Raw genomic sequence first — 26,978 nt, forward strand, 5'->3', positions numbered from 1 at the left:
TCAGAGTAATTTGATCGTCTGAAGCCTTCTTCTCTCAGCTCGTCAAAGTCATTCTCCATCCAGCTTTGTTCCGTTGCTGGTGAGGAACTGTGTTCCTTTGGAGGAGGAGAGGCACTCTGCTTTTTAGAGTTTCCAGTTTTTCTGTTCTGTTTTTTCCCCATCTTTGTGGTTTTATCCACTTTTGGTCTTTGATGACGGTGACGTAGAGATGGGTTTTTGGTGTGGATGTCCTTTCTGTTTGTTAGTTTTCCTTCTAACAGACAGGACCCTCAGCTGCAGGTCTGTTGGAATACCCTGCCGTGTGAGTGTCAGTGTGCCCCTGCTGGAGGGTGCCTCCCAGTTAGGCTGCTCGGGGGTCAGGGGTCAGGGACCCACTTGAGGAGGCAGTCTGCCCATTTTCAGATCTCCAGCTGCATACTGGGAGAACCACTGCTCTCTTCAAAGCTGTCAGACAGGGACATTTAAGTCTGCAGAGGTTACTGCTGTCTTTTTGTTTGTCTGTGCCCTGCCCCCAGAGGTGGAGCCTACAGAGGCAGGCAGGCCTCCTTGAGCTGTGGTGTGCTCCACCCAGTTTGAGCTTCTGGCTGCTTTGTTTACCTAAGCAAGCCTGGGCAATGGCGGGCGCCCCTCCCCCAGCCTGGCTGCCACCTTGCAGTTTGATCTCAGACTGCTGTGCTAGCAATCAGCGAGACTCCGTGGGCGTAGGACCCTCCGAGCCAGGTGCGGGATATAATCTCGTGGTGCGCTGTTTTTTAAGCCCGTCAGAAAAGTACAGTATTTGGGTGAGAGTGATCCGATTTTCCAGGTGCCGTCCGTCACCCCTTTCTTTGATTAGGAAAGGGAACTCCCTGACCCCTTGCACTTCCCGAGTGAGGCAATGCCTCGCCCTGCTTCGGCTCGCGCACGGTGCGCGCACCCACTGACCTGCGCCCACTGTCTGGCACTCCCTAGTGAGATGAACCCGGTACCTCAGATGGAAATGCAGAAATCACCCGTCTTCTGCGTCGCTCAGGCTGGGAGCTATAGACAGGAGCTGTTCCCATTCGGCCATCTTGGCTCCTCCCCCTAGAGCAATGTAATTATAATAAGATATTTTAATACTTCAATTTCATTTCTCTGCTTCCAGGAAATCCTGGCGTCTTAGCTACGGGTCTGCCAGTCCCTGCAGGTCGCACAGCCACAGCAGCTGGGCCTGTAGGAGCAGAGTACAGAGGAGCAGTTGGGGGTCAGTTCTCTGTGAATGAAGACTAGATCGGAATTTTTCACTTATTATTTCAGAGTACAGTTGACCATGGGTAACTAGAACTGCAGAAAGCAAAACAGCAGATAAGGGGGGACTACTGTACTGCAGATGTGACTTGAGCATCTAAGAGAATATTTTCAGAGAGTCTGTGGTTGATCAAAAGATACATTTCAGAAATACGTAAGAATAGGAAGTTTGTGTTCTTTTAATAAACGGATGATATTGATATACAAAAGACTCATACCAAAATATAGTCCTATATAATTAATTCAAATTAAATATAGAATTGCCTGTTGTTATAGGCACTGGTGGGTAGAACTAAAATTTTCCTTTCTGTTAATGACAGAAAGGGTGGTCAATATGAAAGCAGTACCTCATTCTTTACTTTCTGGCAGATTTACAAACCAGTAAACATCACACCACTATTCCTTTAGCACACACGTCCTGGCAGATTTTATTCCAAGAGACATATCTCATTTGAATCGAATATAAAAATTGTCCAAGCACATCAAATAGGGCAGGATGAAACTGTAGATTTTGAAGTGTGAGGTGAAGTGCAGTGTTTTAGACTTACATAAAAATAGAGAACTAGACCCTACTTTTATAAATAGCTTTATTTTGGCTAGAACAGCTTTCCAAAGAGTAGTTCCAGGGGACACATTTGCAGAGGGAGAAATGTGACTGTGCAATTCTGATCTAGGTGTGCAGGTGAACAGCAGGGACACCCAAGGTTTCCAAATGGCATTGAAGGACTACCTAGGGTAAGACACCAACCACCTAGAAAATGGAACATTTCAAAGGCTAACTCCCTGACCTGCTTTACTGAAAATATCAATAGCTGTTTTTGCCTAAACCTCAGCTGTGCCAGAATATATAAGGATGAGATTAAATTCTACATAAGGAGCAGAAAAATGAAAAGTGAGAAAGAAAAATCTCAACAGTGAAGAATAGGAAAAAAAAAAGAATTCACAGACCTCAAGTAAGTTGAAGAGTGAGTCTGAACAAAAAGAAGAGAGCTATTTAGCATGAGCTGTTTAAATCTCAATGAGACAATGAGTTTATAGCTCTTTAGTATGGAGCAATGCAACCCTGGCAGCAGGATACTCAAGAAGACCTAATGGGCCTCTCGGATTACTCCATGATTCAGAAGTCCTGTGTATCTGGTGTGTGTCCACAAGGGCTGGAACACATATGATGGGACAACCCAGCACAGCATTGCCTGGTCCCACATGTGAGTGAGGAAGAATGTGCCTGAAGATAATGAATCTCTATTTTTAAAATGTGAGATTTACTATTTGACTCCTAATTCTACTTTAGAAGTCTGCTTTTTTATTCTAGCCAGCATGTTTATTTTAATTCCTGGTATATTTTAGAAACATGACATTATTCTGAGGTAATAAATAAAGAGAGAGAGAGAGGGTGTGAAAAGACTGAGTTAGAAGAGTTTTCTGATGATTTGGTGAAGCTTCTGGAGAGGAGAATAGGGACTCCAAATATTGTCAAGATGCCTTTTGTATTGGACTACTCAATAGGGCAATTGGTCATTTTCTTAGTGTCCTGCAGATTAATTCATACCGCTCTAGGTCCCAGGAAAGTAGGATCAAGTAGGCACTGCACTCTGCCTTTTGGTGTAACCACCCCCCTGACACACAGACACATACCTATAGTGGCATTCCAACCACTCTTCCTGAATCTGATTTTATCTTCTTGCAAGCATTTCTTCACATTGCAACCATAACACTGTTTAAAGAATGCACACCCAAACAGATCACCCATTGCTAGCTTAAGAAACGTTCTTTTCCATGGCTCTAAGTATGAAATCCACTATCAGTAACATGAATCTGGCCAAGGCTTACCTCCTCAGCCACATGCTGCCCTTCTCTGCTCACTGTGCCTCAAATATAACTTCTTTTAGTGCTACAAACTTCATCATAATTTTAAATATGTATTTATTTGAGAATGTATTATTTTAATATTTGTGTTTGCCACTAGGATCATAACATAACAATCCACTAGGATTCATAACAATAAAGATCCTATATGTCTTATTCATTATGCTACTTGGAGGCAAAACAAAAATTTGATCCTAGGTTCCCTGCCTTCAACACCGTTGCACCTCTCTCCTCCCTCAGTTTCGAGAAATCAATTCTTTAAACTTGACTTTCAAGACATATTATCTGATGAATTCCCCTAGAATCCCAGCCCTCTGTTCTGGCTACCCCAATCTGATTGCCTTTTCACAAAGCAGGTTCTTCCCTATTTCCTTGTTCTTGCCTATGATCTTCTCATAACTTGGAATATTATGGATTGTTCAGGACTAAGATGATACTTTACTTCCCTTCCAAGCCTTCGCTATAAATTTTGATGAATTTTTATAGCACATTTGCTCAATTTGATATAGTATCATGTCATAGTTTTTCATATTTATTATCTATCTTAACTTCTCATCTCAATTGGAAGCTACTTAAAGGTGAAATCCATGAAGTCTTATCATTTGTAAACCTGATGATTCCTAGTACAATGCTGAGTAGTACATGATTGGCTGGTTTCATGAGAAACCTTCCCAGAGATGACCAAGTTCCTATCATTTCTCAACCCAAGGAGTGAAGCCTCATAGATCTCAGGCAAATCTGCCTTCCTGAAAAATAGATGTTTCTTTTTACACTGAGTTGTCCATGTGAACCTCCCCCTGAGTTCAAAGGAGAACACATCCAGCATGCTGGGCGTCCAGAAGTTTCTTTTGAGCAAAAACATTTTGGATTTTTAGTTTCATAGTATATCTTGCCTAAAGCTCAAATAATAGAAAAAGGAGAAAAAACACTGTTAAGGTATCTGACAAAATTTTACTCAGGCCAGCTGTAAAAACAGTACATGCTGCTTTCTAAGGGACACACATCTGAGTGCATGCCTAGGAATAATGCTGCATAATTCTAAGAACATAATCTCATGACTGGTCCAAATATATCAGAGGGCTCTGTTCTATAAATGTTTAAAAATGTAAACTCAGATGCCTCTAATTCTCATCAACAATGATAATGTAGTTTCCAAACAATTGCCTCTTGTAAGAATTATTCTAGTTGAGAAGCATTTTGAATTTCTTTTATTTCCCTAACAATAACTGGATTGACAGTTCAAGACTTCAAGTCTCAGACTGTCATTATATGGGACTTTCGTTCTACCATGCTAAAGAAGACTCATGTTTCTGTTGCCTATTTGAATAGTATGCATTCCATAACTAACCAAATATTGATCTTAAAACAGCTATTTGTCAAGAAATTTTCCATACAGGAACAACAAGAAGAAAAGCAACAGGAGCAGCAGTTTCTGCTTATTCAGCAATCCTCTATGTAGACATTTTAAACAAATGATTTTTTAATCCTAATGGATTAAAGTATAGAAAATATTCTCATTTTACTGTTTTTTTTTTTTTTTTTTAAAAAAAGTTTGGCTGGGCACAGTGGCTCACGCCTGTAATCCCAGCACTTTGGGAGGCCGAGGCGGGGGGATCACCTGAGGTTGGGAGTTCGAGACCAGCCTGACCAACATGGAGAAACCCCATCTCTACTAAAATTGCAAAATTAACCGGGCGAGGTGGTTTATGCCTGTAATCCCAGCTACTTGGCAGGCCGAGGCAGCAGAATCACTTGAACCCAGGAAGCGGAGGTTGTGGTAAGCAGAGATTGCACCATTGCACTCCAGCCTGGGCAACAAGAGCAAAGCTCCATCTCAAAAACAAACAAACAAACAAACAAAAAAGCAAAAAAAACAGGTTCAAGGAGGCCAAATAAAAAGACAGGAAAAAAAGCAGTGAGAATTTGAATACTCAAAAACCAGTGTTCTTTCTACCATAAAAAGCAAGCAATTAATAGCTTCTGAGAATTCAGAAAGCTTTTAAAGGCCAAGTGGGTATTCTTGGGGGTCTTGCTATCAGGGCAAAAGTCCAACATAATGTAGAACATGCCACAAAATATATATATTGCAATTACATGAAGGACACTGAATGTTGAAGTTGTTTCACTGTAAGAAAATATTTTCTCTTTTAATCACAATAATAACTAACATATTTTTACATCAACTGACAGAGTATATGCAAAGGCAAATAAAATGCTTTTAGCATAGCAATCCAGTTTTTAAAAAAATTTGTTATTAATCTGTTATGGAGGATTATACATTTCCATCCTCTTGACGTTAGGAGTAACTATGTGACTTATTAACAGCAATGAAATTGAATAGAATTGTCATTGGCTACTTTTGGCTGGAAACTGCAAGAACTAGCATGCGCTTTGTCATCCTGATTTCCTCCTTATCTATGGAACTACCAGTATTCTTGACTTAAGCTGCTTCATCAGCCTGGCTGCTGATGTAAATACACTGTGAAGCAAAGCCACATTTGATCTTCAACAGACATGTGGCATGGGTAAAATACAAACCTTTGTGATTATAAGCCACTGAGATGTTGTGATTGTTGTCCTAGCATAACCCAGCCCATTCTGAATGATAGGTCTGTAAATCACCCTTCCTAGATAACTCCCATTGTGTTTGTTTTCTGTTGTAAAGTGTCACATAGTAATCAAGCCCCAAAACAGTACCTTACAACAAGCTCTCATTTGTCACTTATGAGTCCGAAGGTCATCTAAGGCTCTCTGCTCTTGGCTGGGATATTCTGGATGCAAGAGATTATGGCTTGAAATCAAACATCATTCTATTCTGTGTGTTTTCTTCAAGACCACTATCTACCCGAGACATTTTCTTCTCGTGGTAGATGGTAGAAACATAAGAAGCCATCAAAACAAGCAAATTTAAATCTTCTTCTTGCAGCACACTACAATAAGGTATGCTCCATCACCAAGCCCAAAGCTAATGATTACTTCACTGAGAGGTAATGCAAGATAGCATGGTACGGAGATGGAGTTAAAATTGAGAATAATTACACAATCTACCACATGCCACTCCCTTGGCCACAAATATTCACCCTCTCACACAGGAAGAACTTACCCCTTCAGGACATCCCCAAAAGGCTCATCTGATAACAACATTAGGCACAAACTTCCAGATCTTGTGATCTACCATGGATCCACATGGGGTTGCTCTTGATCTCAAGACCTACGAACTAAAAAGACAAGTTATCTACCCCCAACTCCCTTTGGTTTAGTATGCCCGACATAAATGGTGGGATAGGGAAAGGATAACTGCAATAAGCAAGACTCTTTTAAAAACAAAAGAACAGGAGGCAAACAGCAGTCTGGTCTATAGCTATTCTAATCACTCTGTACAGATCCCTCTATGCTGTAATCAAAAGCATCTCTTGATTAGACCCGACTCTCATTTCCTAGCAGAAACATCCTAGTCCATAGTTCTCCTTGGCTACTGGCTCCATTATCTATGTCTTTTCCATTAGCCTCCCCAGCCATATCTTAAGAGGGCATTGGAGAAAATGCCATCAGTGGTTGATGAGCAGCTTCCTCTCAGCCTGCTTCCTGGCTGTAGAAAGTTGGTCTATTAAAACATCCTTTTGGGTATTGAATTACCACTGACTTTTTTAAATATATGCTTATGGTACTTTGTAGCCCTCTCAGAAATATTTTGTCTTTCATGTATCAGATTGCACTCAACTACATCTGGCAAATGCCATACAATTCTTTGTGAGACATGTCTCTCTTGACTCCACATTGGCAGTGTCAGCGATTTCATAAAGAGTTAAGTGGTATATTCAGAGGAAAGGAAACAACTGAGGCACTCTGAGGAAGCTTACAAGACTTGAGTCAGATACATCAAATAATCTGATCTGATTTTTTAACTTAATCTGGATTCCTTGCCTTTTCCTGAAAGAATTTAATCCTTTTACTTATGATTATGACTATATATTTTAATATATTTGGCTTGTCTGCTCCGTCTGTTTTAGTTTTTTAATAAGCCATGTCTCTGATTACTTCCCATGTCTTTTTCTTGCTTTTGTTGTATTGATCAAATTCTTTCATTTCATTCTTTTCATTTGGTGGTTTGGGAGCTAGACATACATGTTTAGTCTTTCAATGTTTCTCCTTACATTTGCAACATGAATGTTTAAACTTTCTGTCAATGTATAGTTCCCAAAGCAGTGCCTGAAAAATAGCACTGCTAAATAAATATGTGTCTATGTAATTAAGACTACAATTTTAACATTATGTAAGTAATTTATTAGTATTTATTATTATCATTTGTTATACTCACTTCTTTTCTTTGCCTTTGTTTTTTTCTTTAATTTTATTTAAACAATATTGTAGTAGAATGTATCTGTGGTGAGTAAATATCCTGAGCTTTTGCAAATGTGAAAAATATATAAAATTTTAAAACCCTATTCTACAAATTGTAAGCAAACTTAGGAGTATATAAAATTACAAATGTGAAATTATTCCTCCCATAAACTCTAAAGATATTTCTCTACTTTCTTCTAGTCACCAATGTTGCCATCGAGAAGTCTAATTTTAATCTGATTTCTACTCTCACAAGAAATATGTTTTCTGCAATTTGCCCGTCTGTGTCTTTTAATTGGGGCATTTAGCCTGTTTACAGTTAAAGTTAATATTATTATGTGTGAATTTGATCCTGTCATTATAGTGCTAGCTAGTTATTTTGCCCGTTAGTTGATGCAGTTTCTTCATAGTGTAAATGATCTTTACAATTTGGCATGTTTTTCCTGTGGCTGGTACCAGTTTTTCCTTTCCACGTTTAGTGCTTCCTTCAGGAGTTCTTGTAAGGCAGGCCTGGTGGTGACAAAATCTCTCAGCATGTGCTTGTCTGTAAAGATTTTATTTCTCCTTCGCTGATGAAGCTTAGTTTGGCTGGATATGAAATTCTGGGTTGAAAATTCTTTTCTTTAAGAATGTTAAATATTGGCCCCCACACTCTTCTGGCTTGTAGGGTTTCTGCCGAGAGATCCTCTGTTAGTCTGATGGGCTTTCCTTTGTGGGTAACCCGACCTTTCTCTCTGGCTGCCCTTAACATTTTTTCCTTCATTTCAAACTTGGTGAATCTGACTATTATGTGTCTTGGGGTTGGTTTTCTTGAGGAGTATCTTCGTGGTGTTCTCTGTATTTCCTGAATTTGAATGTTGGCCTGTCTTGCTAGGTTGGGGAAGTTCTCCTGGTTAATATCCTGAAGAGTGTTTTCCAACTTGGTTTCATTCTCCCCGTCACTTTCAGGTACACCAATCAAACGTAGGTGTGGCCTTTTCACATAGTCCCATATTTCTTGGAGGCTTTGTTCATTCTTTTTCATTCTTTTTTCTCTAATCTTGTCTTCATGCTTTATTTCATTAAGTTGATCTTCAATCTCTGATATCCTTTCTTCTGGTTGATCGATTAGGCTGTTGATACTTGTGTATGCTTCACAAAGTTCTGATGCTGTGTTTCTCAGCTCCATCAGGCCATTTATGTTGTTTTCTAAACTGGTTATTCTAGTTAGCAATTCCACTAACCTTTTTTCAATGTTCTTAGCTTCCTTGCATTGGGTTAGAACCCGTTCCTTTAGCTTGGAGGAGTTTGTTATTACCCACCTTCTGAAGCCTACTTCTGTCAATTCGTCAAACTCATTCTCTGTCTAGTTTTGTTCCTTTGCTTGTAAGTAGTTGTGATCCGTTGGAGGAGAAGAGGCCTTCTGGTTCTGGAATTTTCAGGCTTTTTGCGCTGGTTTTTCCTCATCTTCATGGATTTCTCTACCTTTGTTCTTTGATGCTGGTGACCTTCAGATGGGCTTTTTGTGTCGATGTCCTGTTTGTTGATGTTGATGCTATTCCTTTCTGTTTGTTAGTTTTCCTTCTAACAATCAGGCCTCTCAGCTGCAGGTCTGCTGGAGTTTGCTGGAGGTCCACTCCAGACCCTGTTTGCCTGGGTATCACCAGCAGAGGCTGCAGAACAGCAAAGACTGCTGCCTGTACCTTCCTCTGGAAGCTTCATCCCAGAGGGGCACCCGCCAGATGCCAGCCAGATCTCTCCTGTATGAGGTGTTTTTCAACCCCTGTTGGGAGGTGTCTCCCCATCAGGAGGCACGGGGCTCAGGAACCCATTTGAGGATGCAGTCTGTCCCTTAGCAGAGCTCGAGCACTGTGCTGGGAGATTTGCTTCTCTCTTCAGAGCCAACAGGCAGGAATGTTTAAGTCTGCTGATGCTGTGCCCATCAGCCGCCCCTTCCCCCAGGTGCTCTGTCCCAGGGAGATGAGAGTTTTATCTATAAGCCCCTGACTGGGGCTGCTGCCTTTTTTTCAGAGATGCCCTGCCCAGAGAAGAGGAAATCTAGAGAGGCAGTCTGGCTACAGCAGCTTTGCCAAGCTGCAGTGGGTTCTGCCCAGTCCAAACTTCCCAGCAGCTTTGTTTACACTGTGAGGGGAAAACCACCTACTCAAGCCTCAGTAATGGTGGACACCCCTCCCACCCACCAAGCTGGAGCAACCCAGGTCGACTTCAGACTTCGGTGTTGGCAGTGAGAATTTCAAGCCAGTGGATCTTAGCTTGATGGGCTCTGTGGCGGGTGGGATCTGCTGAGCTAGACCACTTGGCTCCCTGGCTCCAGCCCCCTTTCCTGGGGAGTGAATGGTTCCATCACACTGGTGTTCCAGACACCACTGGGGTATGAAAAAAAACTCCTGCAGCTAGCTTGGTGTCTGCCCAAATGGCTGCCCAGTTTTGTGCTTGAAACCCAGGGCCCTAGTGGTGTAGTCACCAGGGGAATCTCCTGGTCTGCGGGTTGCAAAGACTGTAGGAAAAGCATAGTATCTAGGCCAAAATGCACCATTCCTCACGGCCCAGTCCCTCATGGCTTCCCCTGGAGAGGGGAGGGAGTTCCCTGACCCCTTGTGCTTCCCGGGTGAGCTGAGGCCCCACCCTGCTTCAGCTTGCCCTCCATGGGCTGCACCCACTGTCTAACCCCCACAATGAGATAAGCCAAGCACCTCAGTTGGAAATGCAGAAATCACCTACCTTCTGCATTGATCAACTGGGAGCTGCAGAACGGAGCTGTTTCTATTCAGCCGTGTTGCGCTTTCCATGTATATTTTCATGGCTTGATAGCACATTTCTTTTTAGCACTAAGTAATATTCTGTTTTCTGGATGTACCACCCATTGTGGAAGACAGTGTGGTGATTCCTCAAGGATCTAGAACCAGAAATACCATTTGACCCAGCAATCCCATTACTGGATATATAGCCAAAGGATTATAAATCACTCTACTATAAAGACACATCCACATGTATGTTTATTGCAGCACTGTTCACATTAGTAAGGACTTGGAACCAACCCAAATGCCCAACAATGATAGACTGAATAAAGAAAATGTGGCACATATACACCATGGAATACTATGCAGCCATAAAAAGGGTTAGTTCATGTCCTTTGCAGGGACATGGATGAAGCTGGAAACCGTCATTCTCAGCAAACTAACACAGGAACAGAAAACCAAACACTGCATGTTCTCACTCATAAGTGGGAATTGAACAATGAGAACACATGGACACATGGAAGGGAACATCACACACTGGTGCCTGTCAGGGGTTTGGGAGCTAGGGGAGGGATAGCATTAGGAGAAATACCTAATGTAGATAACGGGTTGATGGGTGCAGCCAACCACCATGTCATGTGTATACCTATGAAACAAACCTGCAGGTTCTGTACATGTATCCCAGAACTTTAACTATAATAAAAAAAAATTTTAAAAAGAAATATGTTTTTTGCTTTCTGGGTCTTTAGAAACATATATATTCAAAACAAATATATAATATATATTTGTTCAATTCACCTACCTTGTCACTTAGAGGCCACCTGAAAGTTCATGTCTATCTTCATCTTTAGGAAAGTTTTTCTATCATTTCTTTCATTATTTCTCACTCTCAGAACCTTCTATAGCATTGATGATTAAACTTCTGTTTATCGCTTAACTTCTTTCATGCTTTCCATCTATTTGTCTTTTGGTACTATATTCTAGAGCTATTTTGCTTATGCTTGCAGCTCATTAGTTTATGCTTGAGTAATGTCAATCTGATATTAAATCTATCCAATTCTTGGCCAGGCGCAGTGGCTCATGCCTGTAATCCCAGCACTTTGGGAAGCTGAGGCAGGCAGATCACCCGAGGTCATGAGTTCGAGACCAGCCTGCCCAACATGGAGAAACCCCGTCTCTACTAAAAATACAAAATTTAGCTGGGCGTGGTGGCACATGCCTGTAATCCCAGCTACTCGGGAGGCTGAGGCAGGAGAATCACTTGAGCCCAGGAGATGGAGGTTGTGGTGAGCCGAGATCACACCACTGCACCCCAGCCTGGGCAACAAGAGCAAAACTCCATCTCAAAAAAAAAAAAAAGAAAAAAAAAAAACTTTCCATTTCTTTTTCAATTATATCATTTTATCTCAAAGATTTCTTGTTTCATGGATGAGATACAGTTTCTCATCCCACTGGGAATATTATCTATACTTATATTCTAGCCTTTCTCTTCATGCTCCATCTCTCTCTTTTTTCAGATGGTATATTGATCAGTTCACTATCCCTAATGCATGATGATTCTCAGTTGTGTGCTTATAATTGTATTTTGTAATCTTTATTCACCTATTTATGAATACTACTTCTATTTACTATGGACTATATCTTTTCACTATGGGAAAGGGATTGCACAATGTACCAACAGGAAGTACCAGCAAATGGTTTTACAGCAGTGACAGTTTTCTGTCTCACCTGAGTAGCATAAGCCACTAAGGGCCAGCCCTCCTCTCTGACTCAAATCCCCACACTCACTATTCCAGGCGGTGGGGGAAAACAGTGGCTTGGAATTTTTAAGTTCACTGTGGAGCTGTCCACCTGTTTGTCCCAGTATGGCATGCCAATTAACTGCTAGACTTTGCTTTGGGGATTACTTCTGTTGTGGTATCTATATTCCTAAGTTTACAGGTCCCCTAAAGATCCTTCCATATTTTTGCACTTTCCTATTGTACATTTTGGGAGCTGTAGTTTTCTCCTCAACTGATGCCATATGTTTTATTATAATCATTCTTTTTGCTTTACAATGTTATTATGAACTTATAATTTTTAAATATAAAAATATTTTTTCTGTTTAAGGGTTTGGGGTGGAAGGAAAAGTAGGGTTCTGCATTCATTTCTCCATCTTGATCCAATCTCCTCTACAGTCTTGTTTAGTTTACACTATTAGTATACTAATTTTATTCATTGTCTTTAACAGATTGTACTAAGATAAATTTTAGATCCACCTAAGTCAAAATACACAAATTATGAATTAGTAGTTTAAATGAATGAGGTTTTACTGCTGATAAATGAAGCTTTGTCTATACAACACCAAACAAACCTGTCAACTCAAGGGAAAAACAAAATCAGTTGAACTGATTTTAAGAGGGAATGCTTTGATTTTAAAGAGTTGCAATAACGCCATGTAGACAGTCTGGGTTGCATTTGACCTATGAAGTAATTCAAGCAATTAGAAATTATGTGATGTTCTCTAGATAACACAGCCAAGTAGCCATTTGGTCAGGAATAGCCCCCAATGAGTACTTGCCCTCTGCAAATCCTTTTGGAGTTATTTTTCAGCTCATTCAATCGATTTATGACTTTGTGAGGACAGCCAAGAAAATGCATCATGCACCACCCTGTGAACTAAGGAACATTTAGTTCACGTACCCTCCAGCTCTTGCACTAATAAGCAATAGTAACACCATAGCGCAAATTATCTGCAATCGCATTAATTCTCCTTAATATATAACATGTGGCCAAGCAATGTGACCCTTCCAAAGTTGTGTTTTCTAGAACACTGTGCTTATTAAATTCTTCTTTAAGAACATATTATAAATAATCAGTGACATCTGCTTTGCATCCCCCCCGCCAAAAAAAAGCTCAAAATGTAGAGTACCATCTTACCCAGACTATTACACAAAAAAGAGTTCTTACTATTTGTGATCATATCTTCAGTTTTGGTGCAAGAAGGTAAGAAACTATTTGAAAAATAATGTTTCTGATCTGGTGTGGTGGACATCTGTGGTTTCAACATCTGTGCTGGAGGCAGAATCTCAGCATGGACACAAAGGTAATATTCTCAGAGTCAATTAGATGCATCAGGATTTTTGATGAAAAGAAGCAGTTTCTTCAATAACAAAGGCTGTTATTCTTCTTTCAAATAATAGCATGAAAGCAATTCTTTTCATGGAGATTCTGGCCATATTGCTGTCATACTCACAAAATCTATTATTATCCAGTATCCGAAGAAGAGAACTGCTTCCCCACCAAATAGTAAAACAATATATGGATTTCTTCTACAAAGGTTTCCAAATTAGAAATGATTTCTTCAGAGGAAATATAGGAAGGAATTTTGGAAGGCAAGGGAACACATTTTAGAGAAATGAGACAGATCTATACCACATGGGAAGAATCTTGTGGCACTAATAGCATCAAGCTTGTTTGCTGTAGAGGGAGTATGCTGCCACCCGACAAGATAGCAAAGCTAGGGGAAAATTTCAGCATGTTGTTTCATGGGCATTTTATTGTTTTTAATGCTCCTATATTGAAACTTTAATCAAGTCTTATAGCCCAATTTTCTCATTTGTATCCCTGTGCAGCAATAGAAAACATGTGTGAACTAAATCTCTTTTTTGTACATATCAGCAGTATGAGTTTGCACAGACACATGCTCCTACTTGAAATGACTTTCCTTTTGTGAATGAACGAGGCCCCTCTGATTGGAAACCTATTTATTTTAAATGCTAAATTCAGTGGAAAGGGACCACATCTAATTGAGTGGTAAACTACACCGTCTCTACAGAAACAAGAGAAAACCGTGAACCAGAGTTTCCTGCACCTGAGTTACCCCCTCATTATAAGTTAAGTAACCTTATAAGTTCAGTTCTACAGAGATATTTTCCACTGTCTACCAGATCAACTAGAAAAACACCAAGCTTTAGAAGTATTTATATCTTCATAAATGTCAAGCAACATCTACAGCTATCTAGCTTACCCACTGACTAGGATAGAAAGAGAAATTATATCGATAAATAGTATTCAACATTCAGGTTTCCAGAAATTCTAACTTCAAATTTTGCTTCTTATTCAACATCTCCTAACATTCCCTTGTGGAAGATGAAGTAGTGGGACATTATTTTGCCTTCTTGAACCCAGCCTTCTCCAGTCCATCACTTTTCTGTTCATTCAAATTGCTTCTTCACGTGAAAGCTTTCTTTGGAGTTTGTATTTCTTCCTATGCATGGACAGTTGAAACCTAATAGCATGGCCTCTGGGCCTACAAGTGCTTACAGTTGATATAACTTGTACTTTGCAGAGTCTTAGAGTATTCTCAACTAAAATCAAAGAAACATAAAAATCTATGGAAAATAACATTCGTTGACCAATATATACATATATTTGATTTAAAATCTGATGCCAAATCCATATGTAAGTTTTCATTGTATTCTCCCCAATGCTGAAGACAGTTAATAGTCCATTCTTAGCAGTATGCTTTTTATTAATAAAGACTCTTGTTACTGCCGAGATCACTCCTAGATAGGAGGAAATCCAGTGCTTAGGAGTTTCAAGACAAATCCTGTAATTGGGACTTTAGTGTTCCTAAATTCACCCAAAGATAAAAATCGAATTGAAATGAATACAAAAAATTAACAAGTAAACATATCAAATACCATAAGCATAAATAACATTGACAGCTTATTTTTTGAAAGAGCTGTATATCATAGGAGGTAAAGTCATCACTATTTTGTCAGCTAGAGTTAAGAGGAATAGAATTTAAGAATCAATCTAATTTTAAAATGATGTACAGAAGAATAATGAGAGACCCAAGATCAAGAAAAAAAGAAGAATAAAAGAAATCAGAATAGGGAGTTTATGAAAAAACCTGGCCTACAGGTGAGTTTTTCTACAAATTGGCCAAGTTCACCCTAATGTCTGAACACTTGGCAGACACAACAGGCAGCTGCAGCTTTCTTCTCAATTTTTAAAACACACCAGATTAACAATAGATTTTAACACTCAGTTGAGGACAATGTTTTTGCTATATACTTTGTCATTACTACTATGTACTAAATTCTATCAGCAAATGCAAGAAAAAGAGCCTGACTTTTATTCTTATGATATATATTCTACTGATTATTTGAAATTACTGGCTTCTAGATATGATGCTTCCAAAGTCATTCTTTATACATTATTCACAGTGAAAAGAAGCAGCTAGATTTGGCTCCATGTCTACCTTATGCTATGGTATCTATGTATTCTTATCTAAAAGATATGTTTAAATTATTGATTAATCACATTTTTCCTGCCCATTACATACTACATGACTTCATTTTAAAAATGTAAAACACTAACATCACTTCCCAAGACAAAACATAGCAGCATAGTAGTGGGGATCAGATCAGTCCTCGGGGCATACAATGCTGACAGAGCTAGCAATTATAAAGCTGGCTATGAGGGTGCCTTTGTCAGATGCACATGTTTTCCAGCTAAGATAAATATAAAGCAAAAGATTTGCAAACTTCTTCACTGTGCATGAATACATCTCAAAGCACAGGGACCCAAGTGGCCAGAAAAATAAACTGAAACAAGGCTATGCCCCAGAACATTACTAGGTGTTCATTAATTCCAAGATCTAAAAAGGAAATTTCATCAATTAGACAGCAAAACCCATGCTCAGGAAACAAGAAGCAGGTCATGGTCATTCTCACTGCAGTCTAGCTTTAAACTCTATAGGGTATGGACAGAACAGAGGAGAGAGAGGACACTTAAACTGTTGAAAATATGTTTGTCTCTCACACAAGAAAGCAAGCTTGGAAAAGCACCAAATTTTTATTTTTCAATGAATATAAACACAACTATGTCCACACTTTGCCTCTGTGTTTGCCAGCTGATGAAGATTTTGAAAAACTTACCCTTGAGCTCTGATTAGCAAAGTAGTAAAAATAAAACTCAATCTCATAATAGGTCCTAGATTCAAAATTAGGAAAACACCAGGGATAGCCACCTCATGACTACTAAGTCTTTCAAGTTCCAGGAGAAAGAGCAGACCACACAAAACTCCTTTCCTGTTTTTATTTAGTAAATCAGGAGGCTATTTCTTGAGTCTCGAAATGCAGGAAAGTATCTCTCTAGAACTCTCTCTCCTTCCCCTCATACTCTGCCATGGAGAAAGTATGAACCCTATTGCACATCTCAGTAAAAAATGGAAATCCTGACAAAGTGACTGTCCCATGATAGCTACCTCTATATTAATATAGAAACATGCATATTTTCCAGATGCCCCAAAAGGGGATTCACCTACAAAACTGCCAGGGAAGGTTTCTCCTAAAAGATTCTGTCTTCTCTGTTGATTATGCCCAACCACACATCAAATTCATCTCTACAATTATCCCATTTTTGTTTTTTCCTTTCTATTTGCTCTATTACAAACTTAGATGACTTCCCTGATCTCAACAGACTAGTGGGAAATCTTCCTAACCATTCTTTCCATTATTGGTACCTCCTCCTCTTCAGTCTAGTCCTCCCTATTCCATTGCTGGATTTACATTCTATGGCCCAGTTCTGGTCACTTCATTCCTCTGCTCACAAACCTTCCAAAGTTACCCCACTGCTTTCAAAATAAAATTCAATCACTTTTTTTTTTTTTGAGATGCAGTCTCACTCTATTGGCCAGGTTGGAGTACAGTGGTGCCATCTCAGCTCACTGCAACCTCCACCTCCCGGGTTCAAGCAATTCTCCTGCCTTAGCCTCCCAAGTAGCTGGGACTACAGGCATGTACCACCACTCCTGGCTAATGTTTGTATTTTTAGAGAGACAGGGTTTCACCATGTTGGCCAGGTTGGTCCTGAACTCCTGACCTCAAGTGATCTGTCCACCCTGGCCTCCCAAAGTGCTCAGATTATGGGCATGAGCCAATGTGTCCAGCCAAAGTTCAATCACTTTTGCTTGTCACTGAAAGTCTCCATAATCTGGACCACTATTTTTCCAATATACTGGAACAAGGCTATGCCCCGGCTTCCTTGCTTTTGTTGTACCCAACATTCCAATCACCTTGGAATGTACATATATCATGAGCATGTATCATTTTTTCCTATGATTTTTCCACAGTAGTGGGGCAAGGGAACAGGATGAATCATCCACCAAGTCTTAAAGATTTTTGTTCAGAAATGTTCTATTGGCAAAAGACAAACATATGGACATGCTGATTTTCAAGGAGGTAGAGAAGGGCAGAGTTGCCAGATGCACAATAAAAAGAGAATTAGCATATTGGTGAGCATCCCAAATGCCTACCACACACTAAAATCCTCAGGCATTACATGAAACAGTTTATACTAAATAGTTAGACATGAATCTAATAAAATACTTTCAAGATTCATATACATAATACTATAAAACATTCCTAAGATACATTTTAAAAGCCTAAATAAATGGAAAGACTTGCTGTGCTCATTCATTGAAGAGTCAATATTGTTAACAGGTCAATCCTATTCACTTTTTCTATAGATTTACCACATTCCCCCCAAAATTGCAACATTTATTTTGTGGAAATTTATGAGCTGATTCCAAAACTTTTATAGAACAGTAAAGTAATTAGTATAGCCAAAACTATTTTTAAAAGGAATATCAAAGTTGGATGACCTATACTACCTGATTTTAATATGTATATAAAGCTACAGAAATCAAAGTTGGTATGGTTTGGCTGTGTCCCCATAAAAATCTCATCTTGAATTGTAGTTTCCATAATCCCCACACGTTGTAGGAGGGACCCAGTGGGAGGTAATTAAATGGGGTAGTTACCTTCATGCTGTTCTCATGATAGTGAGTGAGTTCTTGTGAGAACTGACAGTCTTATAAGGGGCTTTCTCCTCCCTTTGCACATATTTCTCCTTGCTGCCACCATGTGAAGAAGGAAATGTGTGCTTCCCCTTCTGCCATAATTGTAAGTTTCCTGAGGCCTCCCCAGCCATGCTGAACTGGGAGTCAATTAAATCTCTTTCCTTTATAAATTACCCAGTCTCAGGCAGTGCTTTATAGCAGCATGAGAATGGACTAATACAGTAAATTGGTACCACAGCCAGTGGGGTGCTACTGTAAAGATACCTGAAAATGTGGAAGTGATTTTGGAACTGGATAACAGGCAGAGGTTAGAACAGTTTAGAGGGCTCAGAAGAAAACAGGAAAATGTGGGGAAGTTTGGAACTTCCTAGAGACTTGTTGAATGACTTTGACCAAAATACTGATAGTGATATGAACAATGAAGTCCAGGTTGAGGTGGTCTCAGATGGAGATGAGGAACTTGTTGGGAACTGGAATACAAGTGATTCTTGCTATGCTTTAGAAAAGAGACTAGTGGCATTTTGCCCCACCCTAGAGATCTGTGGAACTTTGAACTTGAGAGAGATGAATTAGGGTATCTGGTGGAAGAAATTTCTAAGCAGTAAAGTGTTCAAGAGAAAACAAATCATAAAAGTTTGGAAAATTTGCAGCCTCATGATGTGATAGCAAAAAAAAAAAATTCTAATTTTTCTGGGGACAAATTCAAGTCTGCTGCAGAAATTTGCATAATTAATGAGGAATCCAATGTTAATCACCAAGACAATGGGGAACATGTCTCCAGGGCATGTCAGAGACCTTTACAGCAGCCCCTCCCATCATAGGCCCTGAGGCCTAGGAGGGAAAAATAGCTTTGAGGGCCAGGCCCAGGATCCCCCAACTCTATGCAGCCTCGGGACATGGTGCCCTTAGTCCCAGCTGCTACAGCTCCAGCCATGGCTAAAAGGGGCCAAGATACAGCTCAGGCCATTGCTTTAGATGGTGCAAGCCCCAATCCTTGGTGTCTTACACAAGGTGGTGGGACTGCGGGTGCACAGAAGTCAAGGATTGAGGTTTGAGAATCTCCACCTAGATTCAGAGGATGTATGGAAACACCTGGATGTCCAGGCAGAAGTCTGTTGGAGGAGTGGAGCCCTCATTGAGAACCTCTGCTAGGGAAGGGCAGAAGAGAAATGTGAGATTGGAGCCCCCACACAGAGTCCCCACTGGGGTACTGCCTAGAGGAGCTGTGAGAAGAAGGCCACCTTCCTCCAGATCCCAGAATGGTAGATCCACCAAGAGCTAGCACCATATGCCTAGAAAAGCCACAGACACCCAACGCCAGCCCATGAAAGCAGCTGGGAGGAGGGCTGTACCCTACAAAGCCATAGGGGTGGAGCTTCCCAAGTCTGTGGGAGCCCACCTTCTGCATCAGCATGACCTGGATGTGACACATGGAGTTAGAGAAGATTATTTTGGAACTTTAACGTTTAATGACTACCCTATTGAATTTCAGACTTTCATGGGGCCTATAGCCCCTTTGTTTTGGCCAATTTCTCCCATTTGGAAAGGTTTTTTAAAGGCATTATTTACCCAATGCCTGTACCTCCATTGTAAATACAAAATAACCAACTTGCTTCTGATTTTACAGGCTCATAGGCAGAAGGGACTTGCCTCTTGTTAGATGAGACTTTGGACTTGGACTTTTGTATTAATGAGTTAACAAATTGGGGGACTGATGAAAGGGCATGATTGTGTTATGAAATGTGAGGATATGAGATTTGGGAGGGTGCAGGGTCAGAATGATATGATTTGGCTGTGTCCCCTCCCAAATCTCATCTTCACTTGCAGTTCCCATAATTCTCACATATTGTGGGAGGGACACAGTGGAAGGTAATTGAATCATGGGGGGGGGGGGGTTACCCTCATTCTGTTCTCATGACAGTAAGTGAGTTCTCATGAGACATGATAATTTTATAAGGGGTTTCCCTCACTTCACTCATACTTCTTGCCCTAGTGTGAAGAAGTACATGTTTGCTTCTACTTCTGCCATAATGGTAAGTTTCCTGAGGCCTCCAAAGCCATGCTGAAGTGTGAGTCAATTAAACTTATTTTCTTTATAAATTGCCCAGTCATGGGCAGTTCTTTATAGCAGCATGAGAACAGACTAATACAAAAGTAGTATGTATATTTGTCATAAAAATTAGACATATAGATCAACAAAATGGAATGAAGCAACCAGGCATGGTGGCTTATGCCTATAATCTCCACACTTTAGGAGGCCATAGCAGGCCGATTGCTTGAGTCCAGGAGTTCAACACCAATCTGGGCAACATGGTAAACCCCGTCTCTATGAAAAAATACAAAAAAATTGGCTGAGCATGCTGGTGCACATCTTTAGTCCCAGCTACCTAGAAGACTGAGGTGGCAGGATCACCTGAGCTGAGGAGGTTGAAGCTGCAGTGAGGCATGATGATGCCACTGCACCCAAGCCTGGAAAACAGAGTAAGACCCTGTCTCAAAAAAAAATGAGGAATCTAGATATAGACACACACAGACATGACAATTTCATTTTAGACAAATGATGCCAAGATAATCCAATAAGGAAGGAATACTCTTTCTACAAATAGTGCTGGAGTAATTGGACATTTATATGCCAAAGAGGTAAAAAAAAAAAAAAAAAAAAAAAAACCATGACACTTACTTCCCACTTTATACAAAATTTGACTTGAAATGAACTCATAGACCTACAGGCAAGAGCTAAAGTCAGTTTTAAGTAAACTGAAAAAGGAAGAAAAGTGCTAAATCAGACCTCACACATGTTATATATGTTTGCTCCAAAGGCAGTTAAAAATTGAGATATAGAGAAGAAAAAAATTGCAATTCATATATCTGATAAAAAATTGAATGTAGAATGTATAAAAACCCTCTTACTACTACAAAAAAAATGAATAAGCAAATGATTTGAACCAACATTTCACAAAAGTAGATATATAGAGGGAAAGGAAACACATAAGAAAAGATGCACACTGCTTCTTTAAGCAGGACCCTGATCCACTCCTCGTAGGGCAAGTCCTCCCAGCCAGGTCCTCCCAGCTGGGGCCTCTGGCCACCCCTGCCCATGTTCTCCCTGGGACAGAGTGCCTGAGGGGTGGAGCAGGCCACCATGTTGGTTGTTCAGGCTTCTCAGCCAATCCAGACTGTGGGCCTTGGAGAATCCAAACCGATTGGAGACTGAAGAGATCTTCAACACAGCACAGCTGCTCTATCAAAAAGCAGCTGGACTGCTTCTTTAAGCAGGTCCCTGACCCCATTCCTCTTGACTGGGTAAGACCTCCCAACCAAGGTCTCCAGCCACCTCCAACAGTCATGTTCAGGCCGGCAATAGGTCAGTAATCCCCTGAGGTGGAGCTTCCAGAGAAAGGGGCAGGCTGTCATTCTCACTTTTTTGCAGCTTCACTGGTGATACCTCCAGGTACAGGAAACCTGAGGCAACTAGGGTCTGGAGCAGACCCTCAGCAAATCGCAGCAGCCCTATGAAAGAGTGGCCAGACTATTAAAAGAAAAACAAACCAACAGAAAATCATAACAACAACAAACCACAAAAACCCCATCCAAATGTCAGAAACCTAGAAGATCAAAGGTAGATAAGCCCACAAAGATAAGAATTAACACAAAAAATGCTGAAAACTCAAAAATCCAGTGTGCCCCTTTTCTTCCAAATGACTGCAACATCTCTCCAGCAAGGGCTCAGAAGTGGGCTGAGGCTAAGATGGATGAAATGACAGAAGTAGGCTCAAGAAGGTGGATAATAACAAAATTCACAGAGCATGTTGTAAACCAATTCAAAGAAGTTAAGAATTATGATAAAACAATATAGGAGCTGATGGCCAAAACAGCCAGTTCAGAGAGGAACACAACCAACCTCTGAGAGCTGAAAAACACACAAGAATTTCACAATGCAATCATAAGAATTAATAGCAGAATAAGTTAAGCAGAGGAAAGAATCAGAGCTTGAAGACTATCTTTCTGAAATAAGACAGGCAGACAAGAATAGAGAAAAAAGAATGAAAGGGAAGGAACAAAACCTCTGAGAAATATGAGATTATGCAAAGAGACCAAATCTATTGCTGATTAGGATACCTGAAAGGGACAGTATGAAAACAAGTTGGAAAACACTTCAGTATATCAACCTGGGGAACTTCCCCAACCTAGCAAGACAGGCCAATATTTAAATTTAGGAAATCCAGAGAACCCCTGTAAGATACTCCAATGAGAAGATCAACCCAAAGACACATAATTATCAGATTCTCCAAAATCAAAATGTAAAAAATAAAAATGTTAAGAGCAACCAGAGAGAAAGGCCAGGTCACCTACAAAGGGAAGCCCATCAGACTAACAGTGGATCTCTCAGTGGAAACTCTACAAGCTAGAAGAGATTAGGGGCCAATATTCACCATTCTTAAAGAGAAGAATTTCCAACCCAAAATTGCATATCCAGTCAAACTAAGCTTCATAAGTGAAGGATAAATAAGATGCTTTTCAAACAAGCAAATGCTGAGGAAATTTGCTACCATGAGACTGCCTTGCAAGAGCTTCTGAAGGAAGTACTAAACGTGGAAAGGCAAGATTATTACTAGCCACTACAAAATATACTAAAAAAACAGCCACTACAAAAACACAGTGTATACCCAAAAAACACACAGACCAGTGACACTATGAAGGAATCACATAAACAAGTCCGCACAATAATCAGCTAGCATCATGATGACAGGATCACATCCACACATAACAATACTAACCTTAAATGTAAATGGGATAAATGCCCTCAATTAAAAGACACATTAGTATGCTGTTTTTAAGAAACCCATCTCACATCCAAAGACACACATAGGCTCAAAATAAAGGAATGGAGGAAAATCTACTAAGCAAATGGAAAACAGAAAAAAGCAAGAGTTGCAATCCTAGTTTCTGAGAAAACAGACTTTAAACCAACAAAGATCAAAAAAGACAAGATGATTATATAAGGGTAAAGGGATCAATTCAACAAGAAGAGCTAACTATCCTAAATATATATACACCCAATACAGGAGCACCCAGATTCATAAAGAAAGTTCTTAGACATCTTCAAAGAGATCTTGACTCCCACACAATAATGGGAGAGTTTAACCCTTCACTGACAACATTAGACAGATCATCAAGACAGAAAATCAACAAAGACATTCAGGACTTGAACTCAGCTCTGGATCAAGTGGACCTGATAGATGTCTACGAACTCTCCACCCAAAACAACAGAATATACATTCTTCTCTTCACCACATGGCACTTACTCTAAAATTGGTAGCATAATCAGAAGTAAAACACTCTTCAGCAAATGCAAAAGAAATGAACTCATAACAAACAGTCTCAGACCACAAAACAATCAAATTAGAACTCAAGATTAAGAAATGTACTCAAAACCATACAACTACATGGAAGCTGAACAACCTGCTCCTGAGTGGCTCTTGGGTAAATAATGAAATTAAGGCAGAAATCAAGAAGTTATTTGAAACTAATGAGAACAAAGACATGATGTACCAGAACCTCCGGGAAACAGCTAAGGTCATGTTAAGAAGGACATTTATAGCACTAAATGCCCACATCAAAAAGAAAGATCTCAAGTTAACAAGCTAACATCACAACTAAAATAGAGAACCAACAGCAAACAAATCCCAAAGCTAGAAGAAGGCAAGAAATAACCAAGAGTAGAGCAGAACTAAAGGATTTAGAGAACCAAAAAGCCCGTTGATTCAAAAAAAACCAACGAATCCAAGAGCTGGTTGTTTGAAAATAATAATAATAAAATAGACTACTGGTTAGACTAACAAGAAGAAAAGAGAGAAGATTCAAAGAAACACAATAAAAACTGATAGGAGGATATCACCACTGATCCCACAGAAAAGCAAGCAACTGTCAGAAAATACTATAAACACCTCTATGTACATAAACTAGAAAATCTAGAAGAAATGGATAAATTCCTGGACACACACACCCTCCCAAGACTAATCTGGGAAGAAACTGAATCCCTGAATAGACCAATAACAAGTTCTGAAATTGAGGCAGTAATGAATAGCCTACCAACCAAAAAAAGCCCAGGACCAGACTGATTCACAGCTGAACTCTACCAGAAGTACAAAGAAAAGCTGATACCATTCCTACTGAAACTATTCCAAAAAATCGAAAAGGAGGGAGTCCTCCCTAACTCATTCTATGAGGCCAACATCATCCTGATACCAGAACCTAGCAGAGATACCACAAAAAAGAAAACTTCAGGCCAATATCCTTGATGAACATTGATGCAAAAATCCTCAACAAAATGCTGGCAAGCTGAATCTAGCAGCACATCATATAGCTTATCCACCACAATCAAGTGGACTTCATCCCTGGGATGCAAGGTTTGTTTAACATATGCAAAACAATAAATGTGATTCATAACATAAACAGATCTAAAGACAAAAACCACATGATTATCTCAATAGATGCTTCCCTTCATGTTAAAAACTCTCAATAAACTAGATATCGAAGGAACATACCTCAAAATAATAAGAACCACATGGGACAAACCCACAGCCATTATTATACTGAATGGGCAAAAGTTAGAAACATTCTCTTTGAAAACTGGTATGAGACAAGGATGCCCTCTCTCACCACTCATATTCAACATAGTATTGGAAGTTCTCGACAGGGCAATCAGGAAAGAGAAAGAAATACAGCATATTCAAATAGGAAAGGAGGAAGTCAAACTACCTTTGTTTGCAGAAGACATGATCCTATATCTAGAAAACACTATCATCTCACCCCAAAAGCTTCTTAAGTTGGTAAGCAACTTTAGCAAAGTCTTAGGACACAAAATCAATGTGCAAAAATCACTAGCATTCCTATACATAAACAACAGTTAAGCCAAGTGCCAAATCATGAATGAGGTCCCACTCAAAATTGCCACAAAAAGAATAAAATACCTAGGAATACAGCTCACAGGGGAAGTGAAAGATCTCTACAAGGAGAACTACAAACCACTGCTCAAAGAAATCAGAGAAGACACAAACAAATGGGGAAATATTTCATGCTCATTGAATTAATATCGTGAAAATGGCTACACATTGCTCAAAGTAATTTACAGATTCGATGCTATTCCCATTAAACTACCATTGACATTCTTCACAGAATTAGAAAAAACTATTTTAAAATTCATATGGAACCAAAAATGAGCCCAAAGAGCCAAGACAACCCTAAGCAAAAAGAACAAATCTGGAGGCATCACGCTACCTGACTCCAAACTATACTACAGGGCTACAGTAACCAAAACAGCATAGTACTGGTACCAGAACAGACACATAGACGAATGGAACAGAATAGAGTACCCAAAAATAAGACTGTATACATACAAACATCTGATTTTTGACAAACCTGACAAAAACAAGAAATGGGGAAAGGATTACCCATTCAATAAATGGTGATGGGATAACTGGTTAGCTATATGCAGAAAATTGAAACTGGACCCCTTCCTTACACCTTATACAAAAATCTACTCAAAATGGACTAAAGACTTAAATGTAAAACCCAGAACAATAAAAACCCTAGAAGAAAATGTAGGCAATACCATTCAGGACATAGGCATGGGCAAAGATTTCATGACAAACACACCAAAAGCAATTTCAACAAAAGCAAAAATTGACAAATGAGATTTAATTAAACTAAAGAGCTTCTGCACAGCAAAATAAACTATCATCACAGTGAACAAACAACCTACTGAATAGGAATCAATGTTTGCAATTTATCCATCTGAAAAAGATCTAATGTCCAGCCTCTATAAGGAACTCAAACAAATTTACAAGAAAAAACAAACAATCCATTTAAAAATGGGCAAAGGACATGAATAGATACTTCTCAAAAGAAGACATGCAGCCAATACACATGAAAAAAACCTCAGCATCACTGATCATTAGAGAAATGCAAATCAAAACCACAATGAGATACCATCTCACACCTGTCAGAATAGCTATCATTAAAAAGTCAAAACACAACAGATGCTGGTGAGGTTATAGAGAAAAAGGAATGCTTTTACACTGTTGGTGGTAGTGTAAGTTAATTCACCCATTGTGGAAGATAGTGTGGCAATTCCTCAAAAACCCATAGGCAGAAATACCATTTGACCCAGCAATCCTGTTACTGGGTATATACACAAAGGAATATAAATCATTTTATTATAAAGATACATGCACACGTATGCTCATTGCAGCACTATTCACAATAGCAAAGACATTGAATCAATCTAAACATCCATTGATGATAGACTTGGTAAAGGAAATGTGCTACATATACACCATGGAATACTATGCAGCCATAAAAAGGAATGAGATCATGTCCTTTGCAGGGACATAGATGGAGATAGAGGCCATTATCTTCAGCAAACTAATATAGGAACAGAAAACCAAGTATTTATAAGTGAGAGCTGAATAATGAGAACACGTAAACACATGAGGGGAACCACACACACTGGGGCCTGTTAGAGGGTCAGAGGGGGACAAGCGAGAGCATCAGGAAGAACAGCTCATGGATGCTGAGCTTAATACATAGGTGATGTGATGATCTGTGCAGCAAACTACCATGGCACACGTTTACCTATGTAACAAACCTGCACATCCTGCACATGCACCCCTAAACTTAAATTTAAAAAAAGAAAGTGAAAAAAAGACACTCAACATAGTCTTTAGAGAAATGCTAATTGAAACCACAATGAGATCACTGCCTTTCTACTACAATATCTTTTTTAAAAATCTGACAATACCAACCTCTGACGTGGATGTGGAGCAACAGCATTATATGTCTGGTTATAGTGCAAAATGATAACAGCCACTCTGTAAAACAATTTGACAGTTTCTTATTAATTGCAACAT

The 26,978-nt window shown here is 39.6% G+C and overlaps 1 long non-coding RNA gene across 3 annotated transcripts in view, besides 1 other annotated feature; it reads right to left on the bottom strand.

Moving 5' to 3' along the window:
• Nucleotides 238-802: an enhancer, noted in NCBI's record as "H3K27ac-H3K4me1 hESC enhancer chr4:127988930-127989494 (GRCh37/hg19 assembly coordinates)". NCBI's record gives its function as "activates a minimal SCP1, AML or CMV promoter by ChIP-STARR-seq in primed H9 embryonic stem cells {active_cell/tissue: H9 hESC(primed)}" and the evidence as "EXISTENCE:reporter gene assay evidence [ECO:0000049][PMID:30033119]".
• Nucleotides 6,239-26,978, bottom strand: part of LOC102724210 (uncharacterized) — a 396,780-nt gene continuing 376,040 nt past the window's right edge. For 2 of the 3 annotated variants that reach the window (XR_001741824.3, XR_939184.4), the window contains 3 exons: nt 26,874-26,939; nt 10,198-10,372; nt 6,239-6,353 (listed from right to left, as the gene is read on the bottom strand). This is a non-coding gene — a long non-coding RNA (uncharacterized LOC102724210). Of the gene's footprint in view, nt 6,354-10,197; nt 10,373-16,039; nt 21,577-26,873; nt 26,940-26,978 lie in introns of those variants that run through there. The other variant, XR_001741825.2, reaches the window with a different exon arrangement.

The sequence above is a fragment of the Homo sapiens genome, chromosome 4, assembly GCF_000001405.40.
Source record: "Homo sapiens chromosome 4, GRCh38.p14 Primary Assembly".
NCBI lineage: Eukaryota > Metazoa > Chordata > Mammalia > Primates > Hominidae > Homo > Homo sapiens.